The sequence below is a fragment of the Homo sapiens genome, chromosome 2 (assembly GCF_000001405.40).
Source record: "Homo sapiens chromosome 2, GRCh38.p14 Primary Assembly".
Taxonomy (NCBI): domain Eukaryota; kingdom Metazoa; phylum Chordata; class Mammalia; order Primates; family Hominidae; genus Homo; species Homo sapiens.
In genome coordinates, this window is record NC_000002.12 from 38456234 (window position 1) to 38471220 (window position 14987).

The window sequence follows — 14987 nt, forward strand, 5'->3', positions numbered from 1 at the left end:
CTTGTATTAGTCCATATATTCACACTGCTATAAAGAAAACCTGAGACTGGGTAATTTAAAATGGAAAGAGGTTTAATGGACTCACCGTTCTGCATGGCTGGGAAGGCCTCAGGAAACTTACAATCCTGGTGGAAGGCAAAGGGAAAGCAAGGCACCTCTTCTCATAGTGGCAGGAGAGAGAAAGAGAGAGCAAAGTGGGAAACTGCTAAACACTTTTAAAGCATCGATCTTGTGAGCACTCACTATCACTAGAACAACATGGGGGAAATCTGCCCCCATGATCCAATCACCTCCCACCAGGTTCCTCCCCGGACACATGAGGATTACAATTCCAGATGAGATTTGGGTAGGGACACAGAGCCAAACCATATCACTTCTCTCCTCTGGGATTCCATCACCCCTGATTCCCTGACCACCTTGGCACCTCAGACCAACTGATTCCCACCCTACTGTCGCCTGCTTCACTCCACCCCTGTCCACCCTCTGGCCTCATACTTCACCCTTAGCTCTCCTAAGAGCTCTTCTCAAATAATATTGGCTCTAGGTGGATAAAGTTCCCTTCACCCCTAGAAAGAGGTGGTAGTTGCACAGTGTTACCAATGCACTCAATGTCAAAGAACTGTATACTTTAAAACGGTTATTTGTGGCCGGGTGCGGAGGCTCACGCCTGTAATCCCAGCACTTTGGGAGGCCAAGGCGGGTGGATCACTTGAGGTCAGGAGTTGGAGACCAGCCTGGCCAACATGGTGAAACCCCGTCTCTACTAAAAATACAAAAATCAGCCAGGCATGGTGGTGGGTGCCTGTAATCCCAGCTACTCAGGAGGCTGAGGCAGGAGAATCACTTGAACCCTGGAGGCAGAGGTTGCAGTGAGCCAAGATCATGCCATTGCACTCCAGCCTGGGCAACAGAGTGAGACTCCATCTCAAGAAAAAAATAGTAAAATAAAATAAAATAGCAACTTGTTCCTGGAGAGCTTCACAAATCTCCCTCTCTCCATAGCCGCCCCAGACCACCAAGGCCACATCTCATTGCTGACTCCTCCAATCCCCGGCAAGCAGTTCAGTGTCTCCATTCTGTTCACCCCCTGTGGCCCTGCTCAAATCCTTGTCAGCTACCCATGCCATGGGCAGCCCCTTGCTCCAATGTCTAGACTCATGTGTGCCTCACTCTTGTCCCTTGTCTTAGGCAAATGTCTGATCTGGGGTCTCTCTCTGCCTCTCATTCTCTAGTTTTTGCTCCCAGGCTAAAGAGATGGCCATAGAAAACCACAGAACCTAACTACATACGCATTCTTGCTTTGAATGATTACTTCGTTCTGCTCACAATGCCGTTTGCCTCTGCTGTTGGACTGGAGACTGCTGCCCAAGACATTTCATCTCCTGCAGCTTCCTGGAGCCCCTTCCTCGCCTTTTCCTGACCTCCTATCCTCAGCCTCCCTTCCAACTTTGTCAGGAAAGTCAAAGCCATTAGGCACACTCCAGGTTTTCCCTCTGCCCTGCTTTCCTCTTCCACACATCACTCGCCTTTCAAGCAATTCCCCTTTGCTTCTTGCTCTGAGGAGCAGAGTCTGCCCAGCGTCCAGGCCACATCATTCTCCACGACTCCTGATGCCTCAGCTCCTGCTCGCATCCCGGCCGGTGATCCTCAAGGGCTCTCCAGTGTCTCCAGCCTCTCACATTTTCCTCATTCTCTCCCCTTTGCCCAGAAACATACACAGATGTCCAACATAAAAATTCTTCACTGGACCTTGCTGCTCACATATTCTATTTACTTTTCACCTTGACAGAGAAACTTCTCAGAAAAGCACCTTCACTTTCTCAATCCACAGTCCCTCCTCAACCATCTGCTATGTGGCTGCCACTCTTGGCATTCTACAAAAATAGCTTTTCCAAAGGCCTCCAGTGACTTTGTAATTGCCACACCCCAAGGCCTTTCCTCAGTTTTGGGAACCTCCTGTCCCATGTTTTCTTCTCTTAACATGTCTGCCCCTGCTCTGTCATGGCCCATCCTGGCTTGTCTCTTGACTTTCTGAGAGACCCAGCTTTGACTCTTACTTGCTCCCCATCCTTCTCTCTACAAAGTTGCCCTTAGTGACCATCCCCTCTCAGCACACACAGTTTCCAAATCTATATCTCCAGCTTCTGTGTGACCATGGGCAAATGATCTCACTGAGACTCAGTTTCATCATTTATAAGTCAACCATTTGACACCCCCTGAGGTATTCAATGGCCACCTCAGAATTATTACATTTCACCCTGGATCATCCTTTTTTCCCCCAAAACAACTCTTCGTCCTGTTGCTGTTGCTGTTTCTTCTTCTTCTCCTGTTGCTGTTTCTTCTCAAGACACCTGTATTGGATAGTTAGGCTAAATTCATCTGCTGTGACAAAGAAGCCCCAAGTTTCAGTGGTTTGTAATAACAAAGGTTTATTTATCTTACATATGCCATGTAGATCAGCTCTCTTCATTCTGGAAGCCAGGCTAACAGAACAGCCCCAGTCTGGGACATTGCTTATGTCAGAGGGATAAGAAACAAGGTGATGGACCAGTCTGTGGTTCTTCAAACTTCTACTCACGTCCCCTTGGTCAAAGCAATCTTGTGGTGAAGCCTGATTTCATGAGGTGGGATATATCACCTTCCTAAGGGACCCATAGAGAAGGGGAGAAGATTTTTGAAACAAACTGTTTAAGCATGTGTTGTTGTTGCTGCGGTTCGACGGAGTCTCGCTCTGTCACCTGGGCTGGAGTGCAGTGGCATGATCTCGGCTCACTGAAACCTCTGCCTCCTGGGTTCAAGCAATTCCCTTGTCTCAGCCTCTGCAGTAGCTGGGACTACAGGTGCGTGCCACTATCACTGGCTAATTTTTGTATTTTTAGTAGACATGGTGTTTCGCTATGTTGGCCGGGCTTGTCTTGAACTCCTGACCTCAGGTGATGCACCCGCCTCAGCCTCCCAAAGCGCTGGGACTATAGGCATAAGCCACCACACTCAGCCTAAGCATGTTTTTTAAACAATGATAAAATCTTCTAGAATTAATCTCCCAATCACTGGGCTTCATACGCATCTCTGATCTCTACCTCTCCCTGATTCCACATCACTCACTTGCAAGGTATTATTATTATTATTATTATTATTATTATTGTTGTTGTTGCTGTTGTTGTTGTTGTTGTTATTGAGACAAGGATCTTTCTATGTGGCCCAGGCTGGCCTCGAACTCCTGGGCTCAACAAATCCTCCCTCCTCAGCCTCCCAAGTCACTGTGACTACAGGTGTGCACCACCACATGCAGGTGCCAGCTATTGTTAATTCTTTTCTCACAATGTCTCTTGAATTCAATACTTAATACATGGTATAATTTTAATCATGGTTCTTATTTTATTTTATTTCATTTCATTTTATGTTTTGAGACAGGGTCTCATTCTGTTGCCCAGGCTGGAGTGCAATGGCACAATCTCGGCTCACTGAAACCTCTGCCTCCTAGGTTCAAGCGATTCTCCTACCTCAGCCTCCCAAGTAGCTGGGATTACAAGTGCCCACCACCACGCCCAGCTAATTTTTGTATTTTTAGTACAGACAGCATTTCACCATGTTGGCCAGGCTGGTCTCGAACTCCTGACTTCAAGTGATCCACCTGCCTCAGCCTCTCAAAGTACTGGGATTACAGGAATAAGCCACTGTGCCCGGCCTATTTATTTTTTTGAGACAGGGTCTCACTCTGTCATCCAGGCTGGAGTGCAGTGGCATGATTGCAGCTCGCTGCAGCCTTGACCCCTGGGCTCAAGCGATCCTCCCATCTCATCCTCCGAAGTAGCTGAAACTACAAGTGCATGCCACCACACCTGGCTAATGTTCGTTTTTTCTGTAGAGACAGGGTTTTGCCATGTTGCCCAGGCTCATCTCGAACTGTCTGCCTTAGCCTGCCAAAGTATTGAGATTACAGATGTGAGCCACTTGATCATAGTTATAATTTTTATTGCTGATTTCCCCAACTCCAGTCTCTGTCATATTAGTTAGTGCTCAATATACTTGTGATTATGTTATTTTGCTACTCAGAAACTTTCAATAGTTCTTCATTGCCTTCGGAGCAAAACACAAATTCATGAGCCTGGTGTTCAAAGTATCTTCACGGTAGAGGTCCTATATATCTAGAATTATCTGTATGAACTCTCCACTGTGGTCAACTTAATCTACTTGCCACTCCCCAAACACACCTCTGCCACTCTCTCTCTCTGGAATTCTTCCCACCTTGTCAAAATGCTACCCATCTTATAAAGCCTATGTCAAATATTTGTGTATATTTTATGGTCTCTATTGGATTGTGTGTTCCCTGAAGACAAACAGAGTATCTTTCACATTTGTGTGTTCCATGGGCACCTTGCCCATGGTAGGGGAAGGGGAAAAATTAGCATTTACTGAACACCTCCCGTGTGCCAGAGATAGTGGAAATTGCTTTACATATGCTATCTCATTAAACCCTGAGAGCAACTCTATTCAATAGGGATTATTATTCTAATTCATTGATCATAAAACTGAGGTTCAATGGCGTGATTTTTCCAAGGTCACAAAGCTAGTTATTGCTAGAGTCAAAATTTGAAACTGAGAGCTATCTAACAATAAATACATTTGAGGAAGGAAGAAGCAAATAATTATGCTCACAAAGGATAAATCACAAAAGAAATACAAATGGCTAAAAAACACATTGAAAAATTCAGCCTCACTCATCAGCTTTCAAACAGTAATGTTTTTTACCAATCAAAAGTTATTAAATATACTGGCCAGGCATGGTGGCTCACACCCTGTAATCACGCCTCAGATGGATGGATCATTTGAGGTCAGGAGTTCAAGACCAGCTTGGCCAACATGGCGAGACCCTGTCTCAACTAAAAATACAAAAATTAGCCAGGCATGGTGAAGTGCACCTGTAATCCCAGCTACTTGGGGGTCTGAGGTAGGAGAATCGCTTGAACTGGTAGGCGGAGGTTGCAGTGAGCTGAGATCAAGCCACTGCACTCTAGCCTAGGTGACAGAGTGAGACTCCCTCTTATTAATATGCAATAATATGTTGGCAAGTGTTGGGGAACAGGGACATTTTGCACTATTGGTAGAAGCAAAAATTGGATCATCTCTGGAAGGCAATATGACCTTTAAAAATGTGCAGAGCCTTTGACCTAATTAACTCCACTTCTAGAAATGTAACCTGAGGAAGCAGCAAGAGATGCATAAAAGCATTTATAATTAATTTATAATTAAGGATGTTTATCTTGGCATGGAAAACCAGAAACAAGCTAAATATCCAACAAGCGGTGTTTACTAAATACACTGTGCTCACACTTATCATAGAACCCAGTATAGCAATAAAAAAATTATAAAAAGATACTTCATGACATGGGAATGTGCTCATAATGTATTAAGTAAAAACATAAACCAGGTGGCAAAGCAGCATTGCAACATGATGCAATATATTTAGAAAATTATGAATATAAAATGACTCAAAGGATATATTCTAAAATGTCTAATAGTGTTTATTTCTAGAGGTGGGTTTTATTTGCATTTTGCTTATTGATATTTTCAAACTTTCCACACTGAGTGTATATTACTTTTTAAAAATTGGGGCCTGGAGCAGTGGCTCATACCTATAATCCCAGCACTTTGGGAGGCTGACAAAAATTAGCCAGGCATGGTGGTGCGTGCCTGTAGTCCCAGCTACTCAGGAGGCTGAGGCAGGAGAATCGCTTGAACCTAGGAGGCAGAGGTTGCAGTGAGCCGAGATTGCACCACTGCACTCCAGCCTGGTGACAGAGTGAGACTCTGTCTCAAAAATAAAAAAAAAAAAAAAAAAAAAAAAATTGGAGCCAGGGCATGGCCAGGGGGAGGGGGAAGAATGTGTTGATATTAACTATGCTTCCTAGGATCAGAACAATCAAAACACATCAGATATGAGGCCTTCCGAAGGGAGTGTCATCCACTGCCCAGCACCTGCCACACCACACCCTTGGGCTGGGCAAACTTCTGGAACAGTGGGAAGTGCGGGGGCGAGAGCGCCTCACCTCAGTCTCCAGTTCTGTTGCTTGTCAGAAAAGCACCCAAGGGCCCGTTAGGAGGCATCATGGTGGTGCCTAGCTGATGGCCAAGGCCCCAAGAGAGGCTTCAGTGTAGGAAGCCATTGTAACTTAAAGCTGAGGAAGAAACACAGGTGCAGATTCCAGAGGAGTTCACATATTCACCTCCTAGAATGCTATATGGTTTGTGGTCAACCTCACCGCCTGAGGAGCAGAGCAGGCTTGAGGCCAAGTGAGAACACAGCCTGGGAGTGAGTCATGGGAGATGGGAAAAAAAGCGTAGCAACCAACAGAGACTTAAGCTGAAACCAAGTGTAGGAGTTGACAGAAATGAGGGTGGAGATACAGACTTGCAAGGACTGACTTTGAAAAAGAACCTGTTTTTCCAACCAGGGACCTGGATGTTTTTAAGGTCAGATTGCCTTCTAGAGTAGATCTAATTTTTGCTTTTACCAAAAGCAGGAATTTTTTAGGTCTTATGTAGCCCCTAGCTCACACAAAACCATTGGTGGTTGTTTTTTTAAAAACAAACAAATTTTGATTATAAAGAAAATGCTCAAATGAACAATATGCATATGATTCAGCCCTCATGGAAACTTTTTAATACCTGCAAAGCCCCTGACTTCATTCTTCACATCTGTCTTTCAAGGTAGACTAGCAATGGCATGGTCTCCATCTGGCAGATTAAAAACAAAAACAAAAACAAACAAACAAAAAACCTGAGAAATTAAAATCACGTTTCCATAGCTTGACCATGTTGAAAGGTGATACCACAAGAGTCTACCTCACTGGTTGATTTATTGCTCAAAAGCAGTTCTCAATCCCCAATTCTTTTTTTTTTTTTTTTTTTTTTTTGAGACGGAGTCTGGCTCTGTTGCCCAGGCTGGAGTGCAGTGGCGTGATCTCAGCTTACTCCAACCTCCGCCTCATGGGTTCAAGCAATTCTCCTGCCTCAGCCTCCCAAGTACCTGGGATTACAGGTGCACACCCCCACGCCTGGCTAAATTTTGTATTTTTAGTAGAGACGGGATTTCACCATGTTGGCCAGGCTGGTCTCGAACTCCTGACCTCAAGAGATTCACCTGCCTCGGCCTCCCAAAGTGCTGGGATTACAGGCATGAGTCACCACGCCCGGCCCCCAATTCTGTGAAATTCCATATGACAATATTTTTTTCTGGGAAGGCCAAAGCTGTGATTTGGTAGAAGGAGTGGAGGACTCGCAGCTGGAAGAGCTGCCAACCACTTCACTTTCCAAAGTATTGCAAACCATGAAAGTGTGAGTTCTAACTCCACATTTCAGAGAGCTGATTAACCTCCTGAGCTGTGGTCTCCTTGTATGTAAAGTGCAGTTCACACCTCCAACAAATATCTGCTGAGCACCTACTGTATGTCGGACATTGTGCTAGGCACTAGCAACACAACTATGAGCCCTTCCTGACCCTCAGGGATTGGTAAACTACGGCCAGGGACTGTCTCTGCACCCAACAAGTTAAAAATGTTTTTCATATTTTTGGATTTGTGAAAAAAATCAAAAAGAATGTTTTGTAATTTGTGAAAATGTATATAAAATTCCAGTGTCAGAGTCCATAAATCATCTGTTATTTGAATACAGTCACATTCGTTAGTCTATGCATTGTCAATGGCTGCTTCCAGACCACAGTGGCAGAGCTGAGCAGTTGTAACAGAGACCATATGGCCCCCAAGGCCAAAAGTACTTACTATCTGGCTCTTTACAGAAAAAAAAATTTTTAAAATTGGCTGACCCTTGGACCAAAGGAAAAAAAACAAGGTAATTGCAGATTCAGAAAAGTTCTATGACATTTAAAAGGTAGGGACCGGGTGCGGTGGTTCATGCCTGTAATCCTAGCACTTTGGGAGGCCGGGATGGGCGGATCACTTAAGGCCAGGAGTTCGAGACCAGCCCGGACAACATGGTGAAACTCCGTCTCTACTAAAAATATAAAAATTAGCCAGGCATGGTGGCACGTGCCTGTAGTCCCAGCTACTTGGGAGGCTGAGACAGGTGAATCGCTTGGACCCGGGAAGTGGAGGCTGCAGTGAGCTGAGATTGCACCACTGCACTTCAGCCTGGGCAACAGAGTGAGACTCCGTTTCAAAAGACAAAAAAGAAAAGAAAAGAAATTTAAAAGGTTGGGGGGCGGGTGGAATTTTTCAAGGCTGTTATGAAGGTGGCAATTAAAGCGCCTAGAGAGGACACTCTGTTAACTTCCACAACTGGAGTATTTGCAGGTCCTACTGGCCCAACCTGGTACCAACCAGTTGAAAATAATGGGTGTGTCCAGAACGTCACTGGTTCCTGACCTCCGATCCCACTCAAGTCCTGCGGATGCTCTGCGCTGCGCTCTCAGGCTGCCCTCTGGGGATACACCTGTGTGCACGCCAAGGGTGCTGCTTCCACTACACCAGTGGTGTAGGTGCCAACATGGAGTTACACCTCTGCTGCCCTCACACTCACAGAGATGCTTTGCTGCACAGCGGGGTGAGGACAATGACCCTCTCCTCCACTCAGTATCCCTGAAGTTACTTTGGAACCTAAGCAGATAGCTGTGGCCTCTGTCTCCCTGACGCCCTGCGGAAATGGCTCCTTTAGTCCTTCCCTGCTGCCACCTGCCACTGGACTGGAAGACAAGGTCAGGGATTGGCACTGCATTTTTTCTATGCAAAATTCTTCCCCCGCTTCCTCTCTTCCTATGTTGTCTTCCCCCTCTCCTTCTCCCATGTAAATGCCCCATGTAAATAGATGCCTGTATGGACTAACGAAGCAGTGTCCTCTGGCTGTGTAATCTGCTGTATAATTCATATGATATGACATTATCAGCATTTCCTAATCTCCCTCTTAGTTGGCCACCCAGCCCCTTATCTTTATCCTACCCCAACTCCCTCACCCAGAGATACACAGTCCAGTATTTGTTGATTTGAATTGACGGAACTTGGGGCCCGGCAGTTCAGGCAGTCAGTCCCAGTCTCCTTGGCCCCTTCGAGTCATCAGACGGGACCCAGGCAGATCTGTGAGTGCATCAGTCCTGGACCAGTCTCTAGGTGCTCAGCGTGCTGCGGGAGATCTGGGTGTCTGGGGAGGGACCACACAGCAGGATCAGAACCTTGAAGGAGGCTCCTGCCCCTGGTGGCCTGCAGGGCATGCTGGCCTGCCCTGAGCTTCTGCTTGTGGCCCCGACATCCTGCCACTTCTTGCCTGTCTCTCTGCATAGGCTCTGACTGGGGTATCATGCTGTGAAGGGTCCACCAGGCCCTGTGCCACCAACTAGGCCTTCTCACAACCATTACTTAAGCTTACCTGAACTTCACATGCCCCCTGGACCTTGCACCTGTGTGTCCAGGCTGGGTCAGCACCTTGCATTGTTCTCTCCTCACCCCTGCTTGAGCTTCCTACCCCTAACTTAAAAAAAAAAAAATCTTCAGCTACCTTCTTTAGCCCAGAAACTCTCCTCAGCTTGCATGAGAGAGGGGTTAGGCACAGAACAACCCTGTTGTTCTGATGGGTTAACTTCAGTCTTTCCCAGGCCAGCTTCCTCCCCTTACTCTGAGGGGCCTGTGCCACCAAGGTCCCAGCGTGGCTCAAGGCTCAAGCTCACTTAACCACCATAGCAGCTGGTATCACCGCTTGGCTCCCTCTACTGGAGCAGAACAAAAGTTAGGGAGACAGGTGGAAGGGGCAACTATTAACACACATTGCACTATCTCTCGGTGGGCTCAGAAACTGGGGTAGGCCCAAACTAATGGGACAAGGCATCCAGTTACCATTAGGTGGAAAGACAGGCGGTGGCAGTGGGAGGATGACAGGCCAGTCCAGCGCCCTTCAGCAGGGCAATGTCTATATTCTTCATTTATATACCATTTGTTCTTTTTTTGTTTTGTTTTGTTTTTGTTTGTTGTTTGTTTGTTTGTTTGTTTTTGAGACCAAGTCTCACTCTGTTGCCCAGGCTGGAGTGCAGTGGTGCGATCTCAGCTCACTGCAACCTCCACCTCCCAGGTTCAAGTGATTCTCCTGCCTCAGTCTCCTGAGTAGCTGGGATTACAGGCGCCCACCACCACGCCTGGCTAATTTTTGTATTTTTAGTAGAGACGGAGTTTCACCATGTTGGTCAGGCTGGCCTCGAACTCCTGGCCTCGTGATCCGCCCACCTCGGCCTCCCAAAATGCTGGGATTACAGGTGTGAGCCACCGCACCTGGCCATCTCTGTTCTTTTAAGGAGGCAAGAAAGTAAGAACAAAGGGACAGAAGAAAATGTACACACAGGACTGCCAAGCAATCCTTCTCTGCTTCTCCTTCCAAGCATGTGATGTGTCCAACTCCCTCATCTCTCTGTCCCTGCTAACCAGGATAGGATTATTTTAAGTAGGTGAAAAATGTCTTTGACCATGTAAGGCCTCCTGAAACTCTAAAACCTGTTTTGTAAGAGTCTGTGCTCATTTTAATTTAATTAGCAAACTTGGAATTGCTCACACTGCTTTCTGATTCTGCAAGATTCATGAAAATGTATGCAAAATGTTATGGGGAATTGGTAAACTATGGTACTCTGTGTCTGTACAGCAATGCCCTTAAAAAGCAAGCTATCTGAGGCTGGTGATCAGGCAAGCTTCAGAACAATTCTCCCACTGGGTGGGAAGTTGGATGGGTGGCTTCCAAGGTTGCTTCTAACTCCAAGATGTTACGACACTAAGGTTAATGGACACTGAAATGCAGGCCAAGAAAAACCATCTAACGTGAGGGGTTAAAAAAAGACTTGACAATGTTTTTTACCCAGAACACGGTGAGCTGAAACATTTCCAGCTAGGGCTGTCAACAAAGAATGTGTTTGCAAAACATTCAGAAATTAAAGTAAACTTCAGCAGGCAAATGATAAACCTTCCCTAAAAAGGTAATCACATGGTGAGTGACCAGATTTTGGATGTGGTCCAAAATGCTTTCACATTTTTAACTCCAAATGGGCTGGGGCACTTGCTTTGAGGGTCAAAAACATGAGAAGTTAGGATAATTGCCTCCTACTCAGCAGGCAGCCGTGGGAAAGCTGTGAGAAATAAAGTACCTGGTGGCGACTCCGAAAAGCCAGCCAACCCCTGAGGATTGTGGTGCAGGAAGAAAGGGGCATAGAGTGGGCACACAGCGGTCCCAGAGCCATAGGAAAAGGAGGTCCCGGGGATACCAGGGCACCCCTCAGTCCAGCTGCCGATGCCCTGGCCAGGGGGCAGTGTGGGTTGCTTTGCCATCCTCCTTTCTCCCGGATGCTATTCCAGCCAGTACAGCACCACATCTGGAAAAGTCCTCATTCCATTGAGGCTCAGACTCTTCAACCACATCAAACTCTACCTTTTATTGGGGTGTGGAGGAGCTTTGGTTTTGGCTATATCTGCTTTACAATTTTTTTTCATTGTGAAATAGATCATATTACAAAAGAATGTGCATAACGTATATGTCCAGCTTAAAGAATAATAATAAAAACCAGATACACATATCCACACCACCCAGCTTAAGGAATTGAACATTGCCAATACCATGAAGCTCACTCCATGCCCACCCTTCCCAATTGTCTTGCTCTCCCTTCCCAAACCCTGGGGCAAGCCACTGACCTGACACAGGTGTTACTCATTCCCTGGCTTTCCTTTATAGTTTTAATCCATTTGTTGTGGATCCCTAACCAATATACTGCTTAGTGGTGCCTTTTGTGAATTTCATGTGACAAAGCCATGCTAATTGTAACCTTCTTAACATGCTGTCTTTGCTCAACAGTATTTTTGAAATTTGTTCATGTTGATGAGTGTAGCTGTAGTTTATTTGGTTTCTTTGCTATATGGGATTTCATTATGCCAAAATTTCTTCGTTATTCTGTTACTTATGAATATCTGGGTTGTTTCCTTTTTTAGCTATTATAGACAATGCTACTATGCACATTCTTGTACACATCTCCCATAGAGTATGTGCAAGAATTCCCCTCGGGCACAGCTACTCACAGTGTAGCTGGCAGACTCACTGCTGGTGCCCAAACTTTTATTGTTTTACAACAAGGTCAGGAGCTTGAGCCAGGATGTAAAGCAGCTACATCATTCAATTCACCATTTAGTTCAACTGCTACTTTTTTTCATAGCAGGACTTCCTTTCAAAGGAGCAATTGGGCCGGGCCCGGTAGCTCACGCCTAAAATCCCAGCACTTTGGGAGGCCGAGGTGGGCTGATTACTTGAGTTCAGGAGTTCAAGATCAGCCTGGACAACATGGTGAAACCCCATCTCTACTAAAAATACAAAAATCAGCCAGGCATGGTGGTACGTGCCTGTAATACCAACTCCTCAGGAGGCTGAGGCAGGAAGACCACTTGAGCCAGGAGCCAAAGGTTGGTCACCAGTGAGCCGAGATCAACCACTGCACTCCAGCCTGGAGAACAGAGAAATACCCTGTCTCAAAAAATAAAAAATAAAAAAGTGCAACTGATTTCATTCCGGAAGAAGCTCCTCAATTCCTCCTACTTCTGCTGCTTGGCAGGGCCCTTGGTGTCCTCTACCTTTTCTCTTCACCTTCATCTGCCAATCTCTGGGCACCCTCTCCCTCATCAGTGAAGACTTTGGTCTCTCACTCAGCCTCTCAGTTTTGCTCAATAAAAATGTGCTGCATGAGCGAGCTGAGATCGCGCCACTGCACTCCAGCCTGGGTGACAGAGTGAAACTCCGTCAAAAAAAAAAAAAAGTGCCACATGAATGAATGAATGCTGTGTTCTTTCCAACCCAAACATCTGCCTCAGGAGCTGCCATGTTCTTCCATGAATTCCACCTCCCCAGTTGATTTTTCCAGGGGATGGGTAAGAGTCAAAGTCCTCCCCAGACTTTTTCATCCTGGAACCAAGAAAGGCGGTCAGTGTATCTCCAGTGTAAAAGCTAAGATGTCATTCACCAGGGCTGGCAGCAGCCCTACTTACCACCTTGGGAGGAAGCTGCCTGCAGTGACAGAGGACAGAGTTGAGGCACAGAGAAGACAGCAGCAACACGAGTCGGAGCAAGCATCTGGTAGCACCTGGTCCCTGACTCCTGGGTCCCTGGGCCTGCCTGCATTGGTTTCTCAGCCCCATCTTGGCTTCTCTCTTTTGTCCAAGCTGGTTGAAATGGTTGTTTCACATCTGGAAAGAAAATGAATAATACACCCAATTTTAGGCTTAGTGAGCTGCAGAAAGCTGGAATCAAGGCTGCCCTTTGGACTGCAAAGCTGGTTATTACGAACATTTTTGAAGAATGTTGCTAATTCTTCAGATTGGTGTTACTGCAAATACCAAACTGAAACCAAAATCAAACCAAACAAAAACTCGCAAGCAAATAGGAGATCTGAGGTTGCCATATTGTAGGGCATTGCCATCTTTCCTGCCGCAGCTCAGGTATCAGCTGGACAGTTCTGCTTGGCGTGCACCACACGACCACCCGTGCCTGAACTCTGATCTCGGCTCGGGTCTTCCCAGGTCCTCTTTCCAGGGGTTCCCACTGTGGTCCATCACTCCATGTCACTTTACACCACTGGGAAGGCTATTTCACCACATCCACATGTAAGGACGGGAAAACAGCCAAACGGCACACAACTCCATGAAGAATTGTTAACACCAGCAGGGACAGCTAGGGATCTAACTCATACAGGAAAAAGGAGTACATGAGAAGCTCTGAGAAACAGCAGGACTCTCCCAAGGAATACTTAGTCCAGAAATAATTCTTTAAAACTGGGTGGAGCTTTAAAACCATTTTGCCACAGAAATCAAAAGCCCTTTATGGGCATTTCATCTGTCCCAGTCCCACCTAAAGTGGACATAAAGCACAATTCCAGTCCCTATCATCACGCCTATATAGGACAGAACAGATCAGCAGTTCCTCCTCTTCCCCATCCCTAGAAGAAAACAGCAATTATTCTTGGGTCACCTGATCACAGAGTGTACAGGAGAGGGGCACCTGGATATGTCATTCATTCCCATGTTTGAAGGTAGCTAAGGCTCAGAGAGGTTAAGTGAATTATCCAAAGTCACACAGCCATATAGTAACAGAACCCAGACTAGAAGTCAAAACTCTTGTCTAGTGCTCTTTTCTCTTCACTGTGCTGCTTAGGAGCACTTCTCAGGCAATACCGAAGACATTTCAAAGAGTGTGAATCAGAACGTGAAACCAATAAAGTAACTACAATGTCCTCAGATATCCACATGACAGCCCTGGGATGTCTTGGGCATTTTTTACCCCCAGCAGACATGCAAAGAGGTCCATGAGGGGCAGATGGACTCCTGTGGAACTGTAGGGCTGTGCTTTTCAAACCCTGGATCATGAAATCAACTTGTGGACTGAATAGCTTTTCTGAATAGAATATAAAATATCAACACTGTATCATATGGTAAAGTTAAATATTATTTCACAAACCTTTGATACCATGTGTGTGTGTGTGTGTGATGTAAAAAGTTTGCTTTTTTTTTTTTTTAACGGCGATCACTGTCAAAATGTTTCGAAAACTCTGCTTTAAGGAATAACTTCTGGAGAAACCCCCAGCTGTTACAGTTCAATGCTTTTATATTCCCTGCAGGTAGAAATTAATGCAAAAATGCTTTTATTTTTTTAATGTAGTAAACAAGATTTAGAAGCTATTTTAGTAAGGATCCAATTAACCAGAACTCTCAGGGAATTTAACGTCCTGGTTAATGGAATCTCTTCATTAATGAGGACAAATTGAAAACCCTTGTCAAGATACAGAGTCATAGAACATTATGGGTGGAAGAGACCTTGGAAATTGGTTTTCACCAACTCCCTCACTATCTTGCTGGCAGAAGGTGAGGCTCAGAAGGGGAAAGTGGCTTGCCCTAGGCCCTAAGGCTAATTGAGGGTTCAAGCCAAGACCTCAGCCCATAAATCACCTGCCCAACTCTCTTGTGAGACTG

At 45.8% G+C, this 14987-nt stretch overlaps 1 long non-coding RNA gene across 1 annotated transcript in view; it reads right to left on the reverse strand.

The window, feature by feature from the left end:
• Positions 1-2403: 2403 nt before the first annotated feature.
• LINC02613 (long intergenic non-protein coding RNA 2613) overlaps positions 2404-14987 on the reverse strand; it is a 57104-nt gene continuing 44520 nt past the window's right edge. The window contains exons 4-5 of the long non-coding RNA NR_110259.1: positions 13011-13208; positions 2404-2642 (exon numbers count right to left, since the gene is read on the reverse strand). This is a non-coding gene — a long non-coding RNA (long intergenic non-protein coding RNA 2613). The remainder of the gene's footprint in view (positions 2643-13010; positions 13209-14987) is intronic.